Here is a 20,522-nt window from a genome sequence, read left to right on the forward strand (position 1 = left end):
TGGCGTGATCTCAGCTCACTGCAACCTCCACCTCCCCGTTTCAAGCGATTCTCCTGCCTCAGCCTCCCGAGTAGCTGGGATTACAGGCGTGCACCACCACGCCTGGCTAATTTTTGTATTTTTAGTAGTAATGGAGTTTCACCATGTTGGACAGGCTGGTCTCAGACTCCTGACCTCAGGTGATCTGCCCATCTTGACCTCCCAAAGTCCTGGGATTACAGGCATGAGCCACCATGCCCAGCCTGGTCATGGTTTTATACATGCTATGTTTATAATCAAATTTTACTTCTATTTAATAGATGACTAACACACTTACACATAGATGCTTATACCCAAATATATATGTTTATAGATTTTAAAATGCTAATTATATTTAAAAGGCCTAATAAGTAGTTTCAGCAAAAGCTGTTATATATATGTATATAATGGACCAATTGCAGTTGGATCAATAAAGAACTGTAAGGTGTGTTATGATCTAGAAAAGTGATTCTTTTTTTTTTTTGAGATGGAGTCTTGCTCTGTTGCCCATGCTGGAGTGCAGTGGCACGATCTCGGCTCACTGCAAGCTCCGCCTCCCGAGTTCACGCCATTTTCCTGCCTCAGCCTCCTGGGTAGCTGGGACTACAGGCACGTGCCACCACACCCAGCTAATTTTTTGTATTTTTAGTAGAGACGGGGTTTCACCATGTTGGCCAGGATGGTCTCGATCTCTTGACCTCGTGATCCGCCCTCCTTGGCCTCCAGAAGTGCTGGTATTACAGGCGTGAGCCACTGCTCCCGGCCCTGAAAAATGTTTCTTAACAATAACTAGGAACTGTGCTGTGTGTTTTATATAAGAGTATATTATATAATTTTTTTTTTCTTTGAGATGGAGTCTCACTCTGTTGCCCAGACTGAGTGCAGTGGTGCGATCTCAGCTCACTGCAGCCTCTACCTCCCAGGTTCAAGCGATTCTCCTGCCTCAGCCTCCCAAGTAGTTGGGATTACAGGCGCACGCCACCATGCCCTGCTAATTTTTGTATGTTTAGTTTTACCATGTTGGCCAGGCTGGACTCAAACTCCTGACCTCAAGTGATCCTCCCACCTCGGTCTCCCAAAGTGCTGGGATTACAGGTGTGAGCCACCGTGCCTGGCCCCCAATCTTTAATTAAGAAGCAGGTGCCAGGCACAATGGTATACTCCTATAATCTCAGCTACTCAGGAGGCTGAGGTGGGAGGATTGCCAGTGCTTGAGCCCAGGAGTTTGAGACCAGCCTGAACAACATAGTGAGACCCTTATCTCAATTTTAAAAAGAAAGAATTAGGTAATGATATGATTTTAATTTTATAGGTGTGGAAACGGAGGCTTAGAGAATTGAATAATCATATATACCTTATAAGATTCTCTCATACTCCATTTTTAAAAGTTTTCGATCAAGTTTAAGTTGTATTGATACACGATATATAGTGAAGTGTCTATGTACAATGCTTAATTTACATATATACATTTCCAATTATGAATATATTGCAAACTGTATTAGTGAATGAATTATTCATTTATCATATCAGTATTATATATTACTATAATATATAAATATACTAATTATATATTAGTATTAATGTAAACATTAATTTAGAAATACTTTTTTCTCCAGTGAAGCCTCCTCAGACTTCTCATATGCATCTTCAGTATTTATGGGTTTCTACCCTTTAAACAGTCTAACAGTTCCAGAGCAAATATTATCTTCTAAGAGGTTTGAGATAGATCCTTATTTGAATCAGTATATTATGTTGTGACTGGAAATTTTATCCCTAGCCATGTCTCTATTCACATAACATTAGTAAATGTGATTTTTCATTAATATATTTCATATGAGTAGCATTAATGATCTCCATGACATAATTACTTAGTCTGTTGCTTTTGAAGTGATTCATTCATTCTACAGATACTTACTGAACACACACTATGTGCCAGAAACTGCTAGCATTGGAAGTAGAGCTGTGAACAAAATCAAGCATCAACATTTCTGATATTTGAGAAGACAGGCAACAAGCAAATATGTGATGTAAAGTAGTGATAAGTGCTGTAAAATCACAAGAGGGTATAGAATGAGGATTGTTCTTCAAGTTGATAGAACAGATCTTTAAAGAAGTGATTTGAGGCTGGGCGTGGTGGCTTACACCTGTAATCCCAACACTTTGGGAGGCCGAGGCGGGTGGATCATGAGGTCAAGAGACTGAGACCATCCTGGCCAACGTGCTGAAACTCCGTCTCTACTAAAAATACAAAAATTAGCCAGGCGTGGTGGTGCGTGCCTGTAGTCCCAGCTACTCGGGAGGCTGAGGCAGAAGTGCTTGAACCCGGGAGGCGGAGGTTGCAGTGAGCCAAGATCATGCCACTGCATGCCAGCCTGGGCGACAGAGCAAGACTCCATCTCAAAAAAAAAAAAAGATGATTCGAGGCTTCGTGTGGTGGTTCATGCCTGTAATCCCTGCACTTTGGGAGGCTGAGGCAGGAGGATCACTTGAGCTCGGGAGTTTGAGGCCAGCCTGGGCAACATGGTGAAACCCCATGTCTATAAAAAATACAAAAATTAGTCGGGTGTGATGGTGGGCGCCTGTAGTCCTAGCTATTTGGGAGGCTGAGGTGGGAGGAACACTTGAACCTGAGAGGTCAAGGTTGCAGTGAGCCAAGATGGCAGCACTGTACTCCAGGTTGGGCAACAGAGTGAGACCCTGTCTCAAAAAAAAAAAAAAAAGTGATTTGAGCAGAGGCCTGAATGACATAAAGTGTTTAGATATCTGGAGACTTTGCAAGCAGATGCAGAAACCCTGGGGTTGGAAAATGCTTACAGTCTGAATAGTAAAAGAGGCACCACCAGCATGACTTCTAGTTATTGTGCTACACCCTGCACATTTTTTTTTCTTTTTCGAGACAGGGTCTCACTCTGTCACCTAGATGGGAGTGCAGTGGCATGTTCATGGCTCACTCCAGCTTCAACCTCCTAGGCTTCAGCAATGCTCTTGCCTCAGCCTTTGGAGTAGCTGGGACCACAGGTTTGTGTCACCACGTATGACTAATTTTTTTTTATTTTTCCTGTGTTGCCCAGGTTGGTTTTGAACTCCTGGGTTCAGGTGATCCTCCTGCCTTGGCCTCCCAAAGTGCTGGGATTCCAGGCAAGAGCCACCATGCCTGGCCCTGGGCAACATTTTTATTGTCAGTCATTTAATAGCCTAGTCTAATGGATGTGTAGTGATATGTCATTGTGATTTTAATTTGCCTTTCCTTAATGGCTAATGATGCTGAACACTTTTTTATGTGCTTTTTTTTTTTTTTTGCCATTTATAAATTTTCCTTTGTGAAGTTTAAGTCTTGCCATTTTTAAATTGGGTTGTTTACCTTTTTATTCAACAGCTGTAGGTTTTTTGTTTTTTTTTTTTTGATACAGAGTCTCACTCTGTCTCCAGGCTGTAGTGCAGTGGCACATCTTGGCTCACTGCAACCTCCGTTCCCAGGTTCAAGTGATTCTCCTGCCTCAGCCTCCCAAGTAGCTGAGATAACAGGCATGCACCACCACGCATGGTCCACCCACCTCGGCCTCCCAAAGTGCTGGGATTACAGGCGTGAGCCACTGCGCCCAGCCCAGAAAGGAACATTCTTAAGCATTGAAGTGATTCTTGTCAAATTTGATTTCTATTCAAATTTAGGAGCTGGGCCAGGCACGGTGGCTCAGCCCTGTAATCCCAGCACTTCGGGAGGCTGAGGTGGGTAGATTGCCTGAATCCAGGAGTTTGAGACCAGGCTGGACAACCTGGGGAAACCCCTGTCTCTACTAAAAATACAAAAGATTAGATGGGCCTAGTGGCACCTCACGCCTGTAGTCCCCAGCTACCCCGGAGGCTGAGGTGGGAGAATCTCCCGAACCTGATGGGAAAGGTAGCAGTGAGTTGAGATAGTGCCACTGTACTCCAGCCTGGGCAACAAAGTGAGACCCTGTCTCAAAAAACAAAACAAAACCAAACAAATTTAGGAGCTAGCTTGTGATTGTAGAAATAATTTTGGCAATAGAAGTGAGGGAACTGAGTTGTAGTCTAGCTAGTTAACATGTGACAAACCATTAACTTTATATGTCTCATTTTCTTCATCTGTAAAATGAGGAAGATTTGATTAGAGGATTTATTAAAGTTCTTTTAAAATCTGAAATTACAGTTTCTTAATTGGTTTTGTAGAGATTTTGGCTTTATAAAAATGTGTGAACCATAGTGACAGCAGAAACATTTGAAATCCTATATTTGGGTGATTCATAAAAGAAAGGAAGAATTATGGGCATCTTGCCTGTAAAATGTTATGTAATCTGAATCATTGTTACCCACAGCATCCTGTGACTGATAAAGGTACTCATGGCCACCTCTCCTCCCTTGTCTTTCTGTAGTACTTTCCTTTCTCCCCACCTCAATAATAGCTTTATTGATGTATAATTCACATACCATACATGTCATCTATTAATATTTAAAGCATACAATTCAGCGGTTTTTAGTCTATTTACAGAGTTGTACAGCCATCATCACAATCAATTTTAGAACACTTTCTGAACTCCAGAAAGAAAGTACCCTGCCTATTTCCCCTCTATCACCTAGCCCTAGGCAACTATGAATCTACTTTCAGCCTCCATAGATTGCCCTGTTATGGACAAATATGTGGCTGGTTTCTTAGTATAATGTTTTCAAGGTTATTTACGTTGTAGCATGTGTCAGCTATTTCATTTCTTTTTATTGTCAAATAACATTCAGTTGTATGGATATACCACATTTTATCTATTCCATCAGTTGATGGACATTTGAGTTGTTTTCATTTTGGGATTATTATAAATAATGCTACTATGAACATTTGTATACAAACATTATGTGGACATGTGTTTTCATTTCTCTTGGACATATACTTAGGAATGGGATTGCTGTATCACATGATACCTCTGTATTTAACCTTTTGAGGAATTGCCAAACTGTTTTCCAAAAGTGGCTGCACCATTTACATTCCCACTATCAATATATGCTCCAGTTTCTCTACATCCTACCTTATACTTTTTTTTTTTTTTTCTTTTTTTGAGACAGAGTCTCGCTCTGTCGCCCAGGCTGGAGTACAGTGGCACAATCTCGGCTCACTGCAACCTCCGCCTCCTGAGTTCAAGCAATTCTAAATTATCATGCCTCAGCCTCCCGCATAGCTGGGATTAGAGGCGTTTGCCACCATGCCTGGCTAAGTTTTATATTTTTAGTAAAAATGGGGTTTCGCCATGTTGGCCAGGCTGTTCTCGAACTCTTGACCTCAGGTGATCCACACGCCTCGTCCTCCCAAAATGCTGGGATTATAGGTGTGAGCCACCATGTCCGGCCTGATTGGCCAGCTTTTCATTTGGAATGGGGATAGGACATAGTTGGAAGTTGGTGTCTTTGGTTATTTCCCTAACATGTCCAAGCATCCTAAAGTATCAGTCAAATAAGCAGTCTCTTCTCATTCCTGGCAGAGAGTAAGTCAAAGCCTTAATTCAATTTGCATACCTGTTTTCATGTAACAACAAATAATTTTTTTTTTTTTTGAGACAGAGTTTCTCTGTTGTTGTTTAGGCTGGAGTGCAATGATGCGATCTTGGCTCACTGCAACCTCTGCCTCCCGGGTTCAAGCGATTCTCCTGCCTTAGCCTCCCAAGTAGCTGAGATTATAGGCATGCACCACCACAGCCGGCTAGTTTTGTATTTTTAGTAGAGACGGGGTTTCTCCGTGTTGGTCAGGCTGGTCTTGAACTCCTGACCCCAGGTGACCCGCCTGCCTCGGCCTCCCAAAGTGCTGGGATTACAGGCGTGAGCCACCACGCCTGGCCACAACAAAGAATTTTACCAGAAGTGGGTATGATTTATATCTTAGTTTGAATTGCTACTTACCTTTGGGGAACAGACCTTTCCTTGATGTATCTTTAACACTGAAATCTTGGCAAGTTGCCAAGTCTCAAATGTTCATGAGTAAGACTGCAATATCACAATATCATAGTCACACAGGAATCTGATAGAAAAGCATCACATTTATAAAGCCTTCTTTCCTGTACATCACTGACGTTTTGTGAATTTTAAAGAATTTGTAATTATTTTTAAGGAGCATATTTAATGTAGTTAATGTAACCTAGAATAGGCTCATTTGAAATGAAACTCTTGCTAATAGGAACTTAATTCACCAAATTAAGAATATTTAGTTTTTGTAGAGATTTTGCTCTTGAAAATGTTGCAGTCTTGATTTCGTCTTGTCAGTCCAGTCAGAATTGTGAAGTATTTTTTTTTCTCATTCCAGAAATACATGCTACAGGATTTAACTATCAGAATGAAGATGAAAAAGTCACCTTGTCTTTCCCTAGTACTCTGCAAACAGGTAAGAGACATAGCTTTTGTAAAATCTCGTGATGAATATAGTGACATCTGACTTCCTCCAGAGAAATTTATTGTATGCCATTTTTTCCCTCGTTGTTATTAGCAGATTAAGTATTAAGAGCTTTTTTTTTTTTTTACTTTGAGACGGAGTCTTACTCTATTGCCCAGGCTGGAGAGTAGTGGCATGATCTTGGCTCACTACAACCTCCACCTTCCAGGTTCGAGTGATTCTCCTGCCTCGGCCTCCCGAGTAGCTGGGATTACAGGTGCCTACCACCACACCGGCTAATTTTTTTGTATTTTTAGTAGAGACAAGGTTTCGCCATGTTGGCCAGGCTGGTCTTGAACTCCTGATCTCAAGCGATCTGCCCGCCCTGGCCTCCCAAAGTGGTAGGATTACAGGCAGGAGCCACCACGCCCAGCTGTATTAAGAGCTTTTTAAAGAGGTTTGTTGCAACTTTTGGGCCACCAGCATTTCCTTCTGCGGAAGTTGGGCTACGAAAAGCAGGGTTTCCACCTCCTGTCACTCTATATTCTCTTTAAACAAACAAGCCAAGAAAAACAGGACAAAAACTAAAGATCATTCTATCCTAGAATGTAATGTATTGTTTTCCAGTTTTACCTTTTTAAAAATACCTTTACCTAGGCCAGGCGTGGTGGCTCACACCTGCAATCCTAGCGCTTTGGGAGGCCAAGGCGGGCTGATCACTTGAAGCCAGGAGTTAGGGACCAGCCTGGCCAACATGGCAAAACCCCATCTCTACCAAAAAATACAAAAATTACCCAGTGTGGTGGCTCATCCCTATACTCCCAGCTACTCAGAAGGCTGAGGCAAGAAAATCGCCAGAAGTCAGGAAGTGGAGGTTGCAGTGAACCGAGATCATGCCACTGCACTCCAGCCTGGGTGATAGAGTGGGACTCTGTCTAAAACAAACAAACAAAATACTTTTACCTAGCTCCATCTTCTATTAATTCAATCCAAATCCCTGAAGTGAATGGTCACAGATGATTTTGATATACAACCAGAGATCAAATAGGTATTGTGTTATTGAGGGCACAGAAAGAAAGATACGTTGATATGTTACTATTGTTAGGTATAAAAGCACAAAGAAATAGACTTTCTGAGCTTAGTATATGTGGAAGAAATTATATACCAATCAATTGGTGAAGTACTAAGACTTTGATGAATGAACAAATGAAAAGGAACAGATAATTCAAAAGGAAGAAAATGTAAATGACTAATAAACATGCGAAAAGATATTGAGCCTCCTAGTAATGAGAAATTTTTGCTTCTCATGTGAGCTGAAATTTTAAAAATTCCCAATGATATGGCTGCCTTGATATCGCTGGGGGGAGTATAAATCCATGTAATTTTTTTGTAAAGCATTCTGGCAGTATATCAAGAGCCTAAATATGTTCATGTCCTTTGACCCAGCAATTCTGCTAATAGGAATATATCCCAAGGAAAAGTCATAAATACAGAAAATACTTTATGCCCAGAAGTGTCTGAGATATTACTTACGGTAGTAAAAAATTATAATTAATATATTTGTTCAACACTAAGGAAATGATCAAGCCAGGAATGATATATCTATATAGTGAAATATACTTAGCAATTAAAAGTGAGGTTTGCGAATTCTTAACCCTGTAAAGTGCTTATTATAATGTAAAATTGAAAAGAAGAATATAAAATTACATATTTAAGGTGGTGAATCATGTCTCTAAATGGCACAAATAAAATGATAATTATGTCTGGGTGTTGACATAATTGGTGATTTTTATTCTTATTTATATCTTTTGTCTGATTTTCACAATTTTCCTACTGAGAATCTATTGAATTAATATAAAATTATTTTTAGAAAAAATTTAAATTGGAGATGTTTAGTCTTTTATTTCAGTGCTCTTGGAGGCCCTTTATGTGTAATTATTATAAAAATAAATGGGCCGGGCGTAGTGGCTCACGCCTGTAATCCCAGCACTTTGGGAGGCCGAGGCGGGCGGATCACGAGGTCAGGAGATCGAGACCATCCTGACTAACACGGTGAAACCCTGTCTCTACTAAAAATACAAAAAATTAGCTGGGAATGGTGGCAGGTGCCTGTAGTCCCAGCTACTCGGGAGGCTGAGGCAGGAGAATGGCGTGAACCCGGGAGGTGGAGCTTGCAGTGAGCCGAGATCGCACCACTGCACTCCAGCCTGGGTGGCAGAGTGAGACTCCGTCCCAAAAAACAAAACAAAACAAAACAAAAAATGCTTTGCCATGAACATGTATTAAAAGCTATTGAAGAATATAATTTGAAAAGGAAGGAGATTCTTTCGCTGATTTCTTCTACTTCCATTGTCTGGTGAATCTGTCTAGAAATATTCCTATGTATATATAAATTTATGTATATAATTTAACCCACAGATAGGATCACAAATCTCAGTGGCTTATAACCACTGAGATTTCTTTCTTTTTTACACATGGGCCATGAGGACTGCTGATCATATGCAGCCATATCACCAACTCTGCTGGCTCCACTTGGCTCCCAACTGTCTTTCCAGGACTAGTAGTCAGCGAGCAGCCACTCTCTGTATCATGCATGGCAGAGGGCAGAGGCTCAGGGATGGGGAGAAAGCTAGACCACAAAGACACATTTAAAACTTCTGCATGGCCAGGCGTGGTGACTCACACCTGTAATCCCAGCATTTTTGGAGGCTGAGGCAGGAGGATTGCTTGAGCCCAGGAGTTCGAGACCAGCCTAGGCAATGTAGTGAGACCCTGTCTCTATAAAAAATAAAATAAAAAATAAAATTTCTGTGTGATGGTGGTATACTTGATGTCTACTCACATTTCATTGACCAAAGCAAGTAGCATGACCAAGCCCAAAGTCACTGGGGTAGCATTTAACAGACATTTGCGAAAAGTTTCTAATGAAAGATAGGGCAAAAAGCAAAATTATAAGTATAATAGAAATAAAGGAAGTTGGAAAAAGCAAAGACAAATCTAAAGAAAGTTAAAAAAAAAACAAACCCATAGCTAATTACTATCCTTAGAGAGTTAAGAGAAAGCATTGCGTGCATTAAACAAGGACAGGACAGAATGCCATCAGATAGGAAGAATTACAGCAGGAAAACTTGGAAATTATGATAGGTATAAAAAACCCAGTAAAAGTGTTAAAGATGAAGTTGAGGAAACTTCCAAGCAGTAGAAAAAACAGATAGAAAACAGAAAAATAGATTTGAGAACCAGTCCAGCAGAACCAACATCCATCTAGTAAAACAGAAAGCAGAGGAAATGGGAAGAGGATTTTTTAATTTTCATTTTTGCAACAGAATCTTGCTCTGTCACCCAGGCTGGAGTGCAGTGGTGCAATCTCGGCTCACCACAGCCTCCACCTCGTGGGTTCCAGTGATTCTCCTGCCTCAGCCTCCTGGGTAGCTGAGATTACAGGCACACACCACCACGCCCAGCTGATTTTTGTATTTTTAGTAGAGTTGGGGTTTCACCATGTTGGCCAGGCTGGTCTCGAACTCCGGACCTTAGGTGATGTGCCCACTTCGGCCTCTCAAAGTGCTAGGGATTACAGGCGTGTGCCACTGTGCCCGGCCAGAAGAGAAACTCAAAAAGACAGGAACATTTCCTTGAACTGATAGAGCAGGAGCCTTCAGTTTGCAAAGGTACACCATTGAGAGAGACTAGCTTAAAAAATGTAAAAATTGCCACACTGACTGAAATTTTAGAACTTCTGCGATAAAGTAAAACTCCCAGAAAGTTCCTGTCTGGGATAGGGGGCAATAGGAGGGAAGGCAGGTAGCATACTACCTTTAAAATTTAGGAATCAGAATAGTCCTAGACTTACCATTAGGAACAGTGGAAACTTAGACTCTAATGAAGCTGTTCATTCAAAATACAAAGTGAATCTGATTTTCAACCTAAGATTGCATGCTTAGCCCAACTTTGAATTTCGGAGTAAAAATATTTTCAGATTTGCAAGGTCATAGAAAATTTGATTCTTTGTAAAAGATATTGGAGTGGGGGATGGATTAGCTAAAGCATGACTTTCTACAGTGAAGAGAAAATGTCTAAAGTTGAAAAATGAAGAAATAGGCCGTGGTCGTGGCTCATGCCTGTAATCCCAACACTTTGGGAGGCTGAGGTGGGAGGATTGCTTGCCCAGGAATTGAAGGCTGCAGTGAGCCGTGATTGTACCACTGCCCTCGAGCCTGGGCGACAGAGCAAGACTGTCTCAAAGAAAGGAAAAGAAAAAATAGCTGTGTAAGCAAGACATTTAGAAGTCACAGAGTTTGAAATTGATTGCTTCTAGGGGCAGGGTGTGGGGAGTAGGGCCTAGTGTTGAGCAGGGCCTGGAGCTTACGTATTTTAAACTGTGAACTATTACTTTGATAGAAATTTAAAAAATTTTAGAGTTTTAAATCTATATCATTACAGACTATATATATTCTGTGTTTACACTGTGAAAAAATTAGAAGTCAATAGAAAAAGAGAAATGAAAAAAATCCCTTTTTATATATTTGAAAAAATTATACCTCTGAATAATTGAGTCAAAGAAGACTTGTTATGGAAATTAGAAAATATTTAGAACTGAATAATGAAATTACCACATATGAAACATTAGGGATAAACATGTTTCATATGCAGATAAAATATTAGAATATTTAGTTAAGAAGAAAGACTGAAAATTAATTAGCTAAGCATTAAACTCATAAAAACAAAAGGTAACTTGGAGAAAGTAGAAGAAAGTTTTAAGAGCAGAAACAAATGAAATAAGTGAAGTGAGGGGCAGAAATATTAAAAAACTGATATTTAAAAATAGTCCCAAAAGATATATAAACCTAGCCAGTATAGAAAATAAAAGCGTAGATTGAATTGTTGTTCAGCATTAGGAAATATGGTAACCATTTTTCATTAAATTTAAAAAGTTAAACATTCTATATTTATCAAAAGGAATCAGTTTATTTGCTAGAATTCACCAGGGAAGAGTAGACAGAAACTTCTAACATGATAGAAGATATGTATTACACACACACACACACACACACACACACACACGACATAATCTGTGCCAAGTACTGTTTTAAGTGCCTCAAAAATATTAATTTATTTAGTCCTTTCAACAACCTTTTGAGGTAGATTTGTTTTGTGACAAAGTCTCTCTGTCACCCAGGCTGGAGTATAGTGGTGCAGTCACGGCTCACTGCAGCCTCAAACTCCTGGGTTTAAGTGATTCTCCCACTTCAGCCTCCCATGTAGCTAGGACTGCCTACACATGACAGTGCATCTGGTTAATTTTTAAATTTTTTTGTAGAGACAGGGTCTCGTTATGTTGCCTAGGCTGGTCTCAAATGCCTGGCCTCAGGTGATCCTCCTACCTCAGAGAGAGGATCTTGCCATCCTCCCAAATGTTGAGGTTACAGGCATGAGCCACTACGCCAGCCAGATTCTGTTACTTCTATTTTGTAGATAAACTAAGGCAGAAAAATGATTTCAGTAACTTAAATAATTTGTCCAAGGTAACATAGCTAGTAAGTAACATAGCTGGGATTTAAACCCAAGCAGTTTAACTCAAAAGTCTGCACTTTTAACCACCACATTGTGCTATCTTTATTTTTCAAATTAAATATTTCAAAAACATAGTACATTTACATAATTTGAAATTCAAATGCTATGCAATGAAATTTTGTTTGCCAGTCTACCCTGTCTTCTTTCTCAGCTCCATTCCTCAACAGAATGAAATGAAATTTTCCTTTCAAAACTATACCCTGCTTTTGTAAGCATTTATATATATACTTTTTAAGAACACAGAAATCACCATGCCATACATAATGTTCTGCACCTTTCTTCTTTTCCCCTTAACTGTAAATATTGGAGGCCATTTATTACTAGTATATAAGAGATGTATCATTCTTGATAAGGTCTGTTTACAGCAGACATGCTAAATGGTGAAGCTATTTCAAATAATAACAAACAAGTTAGAGAAGGTTATGACCATTAGTATAGTATGATTTAACATAATTTTTGATATTTTTGGCCAATATAACAATTTTGAGCTAATATAACAACTGATATAAATATTAGAACAGAAAAATTATCTTGCAGGTGTGACAATATTGAATTATTATTATTATTATTTTTTGAGATGGAGTCTCGCTCTGTCGTCCAGGCTGGAGTGCAGTGGCGCGATCTCAGCTCACTGCAAGCTCTGCCTCCTGGGTTCATGCCATTCTCCTGTCTCAGCCTCCCGAGTAGCTGGGACTACAGGTGCCCGCCACCACGCCCGGCTAATTTTGTTTTTGTATTTTTAGTAGAGATGGGGTTTCACTGTGTTAGCCAGGATGGTCTTGATCTCCTGACCTCGTGATCCTCCCGCCTCGGCCTCCCAAAGTGCTGGAATTACAGGTGTGAGCCATCACGCCCAGCCGACAATATTGAATTATTGAATATCTGTTTGAAACCATTGGCTTTCACATTTTCCCAAGGTTTGCTTTAAAAATGAAGTTAATCTTTTTCAAGACAGATTGCACAAGTGATCTATCTGATAATGAAGCAAATACTGAGCTTATCTTAGGAGGACATTAATAACCTTTGTGTTTAGCCTCATCAAATTTAACAGTAATGCAAGCTATTATACAGCTAAGTAAAACCTACTTTTCTGAAATTGGCACCATTCTGGGATAGTGATTAAATTACCATAATTATTGTAAGGTCTAACAACCTTAGAATTAGTGGCTGAGGGTCCTGAGGGTGGCATTTATATGGAGAAACACTGGTAGTTGTCAGCATTTTGAAGAGTCAAAAACAAGATAATAAAAAGTGGTGACACATGGCGAAACCCTGTTTCTACTAAAAACAAAAATTAGTCAGGCCTGGTGGCGCACGCCTGTAGTTCCAGCTACTCAGGAGGCTGAGGCAGGAGAATTGCTTGAACCCGGGAGCCGAAGGTTGCAGTGAGCCGAGATTGCACCACTGCACTTTAGCCTGGGTGACAGACTGAGACTGAGACTCCATTTTCCAAAGAAAAAAAGAGGTGGTGACACAAAGGCAACGATCTTTATTCCCTTTTTGTATAAATTAATCTCTTTATTTTTATAGCATTTAGTAGACTCATTAAATTTCTTATTATTAAAGTATTTCAAGATTTACTCCAGGTTTTACAATTGTTATACTCTCCTAAGCTTTAAACATTTAAGGTTTTTGATGGAAGTCCCAATTTTTCAGTTGTTTACTTTATAAACGAGCTTGATGTATGTTTCAAAAGGTTTACAACCCCAAACATAAATATTTCATACATTGGATATGAAATAAGGTATCTAATTTGAGGAAGTGGTGTAAATTATGTGTGTTGATAGGTATAAAATTAGACAATTTGGCAATCCGTTCATTAATATGGTGTAAATTTGATAAATGAAATTTATTAAAAAGTCATTTTTTCTCCTACTTGCCCTAAAATTCTACTATATGAATAGTAAGTAAATACTTTGTAATTGGTATCATATAATGTGACACTAATTAAACTTATTAATGATTTTTAAATACTTTAACTTGTGTTTTGTTTGAATTTCAGGTAATAACTCTTTCCAATACTTTGTATTTTGTTTAGTATGCCACTTTTTGGAAGTGGTCACTGTCAATATCTTGTTATGGTTTGATGGCCTTGGAGATTTAAAACCGAGTAAAAGTGTAAGCAGTCTTTCTTATTTAGTTATGAGTTTTAAAACCACTTATGTTCCAACTAGGAAAAAATGCAAGTAGATTTACCATGAAATATGAATTATATTTAAAAAACATCTTAACAGTTGACTGACTTAGTGAAACAGACTGGGCAATTCCACTTATGGAATTGTAACATAAAATTCCATCATATAGTTTCCATTAAAGGTAGTAGGTTTTTATAATCTGTTAGACGTTCTTTGCAAACTTTATTAATGTGAATACATTTGCTTTTTTAAAAAAATTAAGTGAACTTCTAAAGAAAATAGAAATTAAAAATTTTTAATTTAAATTTTGCTTTATAGTTTAATTTTTTAGTATCATTTAGAATTATCAATTATTTTACTATATCCATATATACTGTCCCAGTAACCTGTCATTCTCTTTAAAGAAAAAAGTATTCATTGTCCTCTTTAGATATTTACAAATATCTGATTTCTAAAAAATAAACATCACAAATGTCTATTCAATTAAGCTTCAGTTGAGTTGTTTTTTTCTCAGAATGATTAAGAATATAGCACTTTCATTAGTGGTGACTTTGCTCTAAAGGTCTGAAATTTTCACTTAAATTACTTTCAGAACCAGTTTGAGGCATCAGGCTAGAGACAGTTTGTAGTTTGTCATTCACTTATTCTGTAGACTCTCACTCCCCATAACTTTTGGTCCTTTCCAAAAGCAAATTCAATTTTATAAGATGAAGATTTGACTTTGAGATCATTCAAAAGAGTGTCAGAGGGGCTGGGCACAGTGGCTCATGCCTGTAATCCCAGCACTTCGGGAGGCCAAGGTGGGTGGATCACTTGAGGCCAGGAGTTTAAGACCAGCTGGCCAACATGGCAAACCCCTGTCTCTACTAAAAATGCAAAAATTAGCCAGGCGTGGTGGTGCCCGCCTGTAGTCCCAGCTACTCAGGAGGCTGAGGCACAATTGCTTGAACCCAGGAGGCGGAGGCTGCAGTGAGCCGAGATCACACCACTGTACTCCAGCCTGGGCAACAGAGTGAGCCTCTGTCTCAAAAAAAAAAAAGAGAGAAAGAGAAAGTCACAACATTTTGAACAATGTCAAATGTCATTGCTCTTTAGCGTTCCAAAATGACAATTTGAAACATTAGGATATAAAAGTTTGGTATGATTGGTTAATTACTTTATAGTCATGCCCTATCTTTGATTTGTTAGACTTCCCATGCTTTAAATCTTGATATACGTAGGGCCTTTAAAATGGTCAACTAAAAAGTCACCATTCCTCTACGTTTTTTCGTGACTTGATTTGTAAAACACAGAATGGGATTACTGTTTTGCCATGCATCTGTATTTAGCAGATGATTACTAGATAATAATTATAATTTTTTATGTTATAAAAAAGAAAGTATATAAACTCAAAAAAGCTCACTTTTTTGTCTAAATTGTTTTTGCTCTTATACAATAGAATACATATTTAAGTTGTATTTTTATTTGCATTTAATAATTTATTAATTAAATGTATTTCTTTGTCAGATTTCAAATGATTGAGGTGACTTGTAAGAATTTGTTTTATGCCCTGTTGCTGATCAAATCATTGGTCTTCCCTATAGCTCCTTACAAAATTATGCAATCAGTGTTCCATTTGGAGTAAACATTTAGTGTCTTATCTTGATAGAGTAATTGGCTACATTTCTCTTTCTATGCATGAAGTTGTGTAAAAGGACCAATTCACATGTATAATTGGCAGAGAGCATGGATTCTGGACTTAACATTTTATCCCATTCTCACTACTTACTAATTTTATGACACTGGACAAGTTATTTAGCTTCTCAGCCTCAGTTTCCTCATCTGAAAAAATGAGGACAATATCTACTTCCAGGTTTATAAATAGTTATATATATTTTAAAAGCACTGTGCACAATAGCACATATCAGGCATTTAAGAATAAATGTTTGTTTCCTTTCCTGTTCTTATTTTCACATATTGGTAGTTTGAGACTAAGTTAATAACTTTTTAGGCAGTCACCCTAAACATGACTTTCAAGAGTTATTTTAGGATTAGTCTGCCTTTTACTTTAGTAAGTACTGTATTCTCTCCATTGCCAGGAGGAATATTTGAAAAAGGAAGGAATGATTTGAACATTGTAAATAGCTAACTGAATATAGTGTCTTGAGGACATATTTTTGGTAACTGTGTTTAACATCTCCATAAAAGTGTTTTTTATTTATCTTCAATCACAGGTACGGGAACCTTAAAGATAGATTTTGTTGGAGAGCTGAATGACAAAATGAAAGGTTTCTATAGAAGTAAGTATACTACCCCTTCTGGAGAGGTGCGCTATGCTGCTGTAACACAGTTTGAGGTATGGGTTATTCTTCTCTAAAATATTATTATTCTTAAATTAGGCATTCTGACAAAGGTGTGTTTATTATGTGGGGTGATTATTTGAGGCTAGGTGCCCTTGGCCATGATTGTATTCACAATTTTAGAATTTTTATTTTATATTTAGCCATTATCTCTATAGAAAGGAGGGAATTAAGGGTATGGGTTGGGGAATGATTATATACAGTTATACACACAGACATTCAAACACACGACACATTTTGATACCTGAATTGCCTATATACTGTGTACCTTTCTTAAAATCATTCTCTTAGTATTTGACACCTATGGCTTTTCCTACAGTATTATTAGCTGTTTTCTAGAATTCCTTTCCTTCTTTGACATCTTTTGTTTATCTTACTGTAGTATCTGTGCTGTCTTTGATTTTTTTTCTCTCTCTCTCTGTGTGTGTGTGTGTGTGTGTGTGTGTGTGTGTGTGTATACATATATATATACACACATATATATATTTGCTGTCCTACGTAGGCCAGGATGATTTTTATTTGTCAGGTATTTGCAAATTATATACATTGTTTTGAATCTGCTAGTCGTATTTTTAAGTGTTAAATCTAATTAAATTTATTTCTATAAATTTCAGTATGGATAAAGAAACAATTCATGATATCCATTCTTATGTTTCTGCCCATATCCCTATATTGTTTGCTTGTTTGGGATAACCTAAAATTTTTTATCCAGTTTACTACTAATTTGTTTTACCTGATGTATCTTCTCTTTCAATAATTTTATGTTACCTTCTGTTTAGAATAATATTTGCCACAGATATTTAGGTTTAATTCTGTGTTTGAATGATTCCAATGCCTTTCTCTACCCACTTTGAACACTTCATCCTGGAATGGTTGGCTGATGTATGTCTCTAAACAATTTTTTTTTTAGGAGAAGGTATGTGGGTAATGTAATTCCTAAACCTTTGCTTTTCTGAAAAATCTTTCATTTGCCTTTATACATGACCAGATTTACTGGGTATATAGATTTGTTGATGAAAAAAGGTAAAAAGAGCAACTTTTGACATCCAGAGGTTGTCTGGCACTCACAGCTAGCCCGTGTTATTCTCCCTATTAGACATAATATTACAGAATACCAACTTTAGACAAGGCTACTTGAGACCATAATAAAGTGAGACAAAACAAGGGATCCATAATTTTGCCTAGGTACAGTACATACAGGATCACTATGCTACCCGCAAAATATCAAACATCTCCATCTCTCAGTTAAAATGAGTGACTACTGCTTCTTTACCAATTACGGTTTTAGATTTGCTCTAGTCTGGCCTCCGTATAGATAAGATTTATTGAGATACATACCCATAGAATTGCCTCATAGGACTTCTTGCAGCACTCAATCTAGAGTGAATCCCTGTTTACTTAGACCCTCTTCCAAATCATGTAAACCAAATCCCAAATCGTATAGTGGGTTCTTTCTTACATTCTTATGGAGACACCAGTGGTTCCCTGTGGTGTGAGTTCTCTCTTGCCATGAGTAATAGGCCCAGCTCATTCAATTGTAAGAGTAGTACAATCAGCTTACAATTTTTCACTTTCAAAAGTCTGTGAATATTGTTTCCAAAGTCTTCTACATCTCACTTTTTCAAGAGGAGGGGTCACAGACTAAAATGTTTCTTCTTCCTTTGTAGGTAAGATGTTGTTTCGTTTTGCTTTATTTTCTTCCTGCTTGCTTGTTAAATTATATCTTGATATCGAAAATTAAACTGTTTTTTAAACCAGGTGTTCACTTTTCATTGATTTTTGCATAGTACTTGGTGAACCCTATTGATTTTTAGATTCAGGTAATTTTTCAGTGTGAAAGAGTTTTTCTGTTATATCTTCACTGTGATATCCATTCCATTCCCTTCTCAGTTAATACTCAGTTTAGCTCTAGTATCTGTCTCTCAAATTATGTTTAATTGCTTTTATCACTTTGTCCTTTAGATATTTTCAAACTTAAATCTTGTTATCTGTCATTAATTTCCTTTAGTATAAATTCATTTCTCTACTGCTGCTGCTTCTAATTTAAATGCTTCTGTGCTGCCATTTCTTTCCTTATACTCTCCCTTCTTTTCAGATGTCTTTTTTATTCATTGATAGAATTCATTATTTATTTAATGTTTTTGAGAATGTAGTCAGCCAAGTTTCTTCTACCTCTTTGGTTTGTTTGTTTGTTTGTTTGTTCGTTTGTTTGTTTGTTTTTTAGTCGGAGCCTTGCTCTGTCGCCCAGGCTGGAGTGCAGTGGTGCAATCTTGGCTCACTGCAACCTCCGCTTCCCAGGTTCGAGCCATTCTCCTGCCTCAGCCTCCCGAGTAGCTGGGATTACAGGCATGTGTCACCATGCCTGGCTTATTTTTGTATTTTTAGTAGAGACGGGGTTTCACCATGTTGACCAGGCTGGTCTCGAACTCCTGACCTCAGGTGATCCGCCCACCTCGGCCTCCCAAAGTGCTGGAATTACAAGCATGAGCCACTGCACCCAGTCTGTTGTTTCTTTTTATGATACAGTATCTTGTCATTGGTTCCATTTTATTTACTAAATAAATGGAAAATTCTGTTTACTGAAGTGTCTTTCCTTTATAACTGATACCCTGCAGAACCCCTAAGTTTTATTTTGCTTTCATAAGGTTGCTCTTTTTTAAATTTTTAATGAAAGAGTAAGGACTCAAGTAGGTCAAGTGGCGACAGTTTTATGTGTAGCATATGGAAGTGCCATTAAATGAATGACCTGTCTTGAATTGATAGAGCATCTGTCTTTATTCCCATTGCTGCCATTCCAGATAAAGAACAAAGCACATCAAAGATTGAGAATATTTTTATTTTTAATTCAAAAATAAAAGCCAGAGAGGCAACTTACCATGTTTTCCCAACTTTGAATTCTTATAGCATACTCTTTACTGTTCTGTGCTCTGTGTTGTGTTAACATTATTGATTTGAAGGCATTTGCATTAAATTTGAAATGTTAAAATGTAAACAAAAATTTAGTTGTAAATAATTATAATATATTGTTAAAATCCATAGCAGACACTGTTCCTGGATATTTGCTGGAATGGCAGTGGTAGCAAGTGTTGTCTTTTCTTTCTAGTTAATGCCTAGCTTGTTGCCTGGCACTGAAGAGAAAGTAAATATTTGAACAAGGGAATGAATGAATGACAGAGGGAAATGGCGACTGCTTTATGAAATAACTTGTTAGGTTAATTCTAAGGTATTTATATTTCATATTCTTTTCTTAAGGCTACTGATGCCCGAAGGGCTTTTCCTTGCTGGGATGAGCCTGCTATCAAAGCAACTTTTGATATCTCATTGGTTGTTCCTAAAGACAGAGTAGCTTTATCAAACATGGTATGTATGTGTTTATAAGTTTATCTAAAATTTTAATAGGCTTTAGCAGATTTAGTTTGCTGATTAGATGGGATAATATGAAACCACCTACCACAGTGCTGGTATATTATAGGAACATAAATAATAGTTTTCTTTATTTTCAATAAGCCTCTTTTTCTTTCTTTTTTTTTTTTTTCTGTAGAGTTGGGGTCTCATTATGTTGCCCAGGCTGGTCTCAAACTCCTGGGGTCAATCTGTCTTCCTGCCTCAGCCTCCCAAAGTGCTGGGATTAGAGGCATGAGCCACCATGCCCAGCCAAGACCTCTTTTTCTTGATAGCTTTATTTTTGGAGGATTTTGTCCTTGTCAAATTCCTTGTTAAATACATTTATAAGATTATCTACTTCTTTTAATTTAGAGAGGTAAATTGACAAGTTTAATAGATTTATAGTAACTAAAAGCAAAAGTCTTGGGCTGGATATGGTGGCTTACACCTGTCATCCCAGCACTTTGGGAAGTCAAGGTAGGCAGATCGCTTGAGGTCAGGAGTTGAAGACCAGCCTGGCCAACATGGTGAAATCCTGTCCTTACTAAAAATACAAAAATTATCTGAGTGTGGTTGCACACACCTGTAGTCCCAGCTACTTGGGAGGCTGAGGTGGGAGGATCACTTGAACCCAGGAAGCGGAGGTTGTAGTGAGCTGAGATCACACCACTGCACTCCAGCCTGGGTGACAGAGCCAGACCCTAT

The 20,522-nt window shown here is 38.1% G+C and overlaps 1 protein-coding gene across 2 annotated transcripts in view; it reads left to right on the forward strand.

Annotated features, from left to right (window-relative positions):
- LOC101060212 (puromycin-sensitive aminopeptidase-like protein) overlaps positions 1–20,522 on the forward strand; it is a 41,091-nt gene that overhangs the window by 16,893 nt on the left and 3,676 nt on the right. For both annotated transcript variants that reach the window (XM_047437249.1, XM_047437250.1), the window contains exons 2-4: positions 6,320–6,397; positions 16,308–16,429; positions 19,686–19,793. In XM_047437249.1, coding sequence (XP_047293205.1) covers positions 6,320–6,397; positions 16,308–16,429; positions 19,686–19,793 — 308 coding nt within the window. The remainder of the gene's footprint in view (positions 1–6,319; positions 6,398–16,307; positions 16,430–19,685; positions 19,794–20,522) is intronic.

Source organism: Homo sapiens, chromosome 17 (assembly GCF_000001405.40).
Source record: "Homo sapiens chromosome 17, GRCh38.p14 Primary Assembly".
Taxonomy (NCBI): domain Eukaryota; kingdom Metazoa; phylum Chordata; class Mammalia; order Primates; family Hominidae; genus Homo; species Homo sapiens.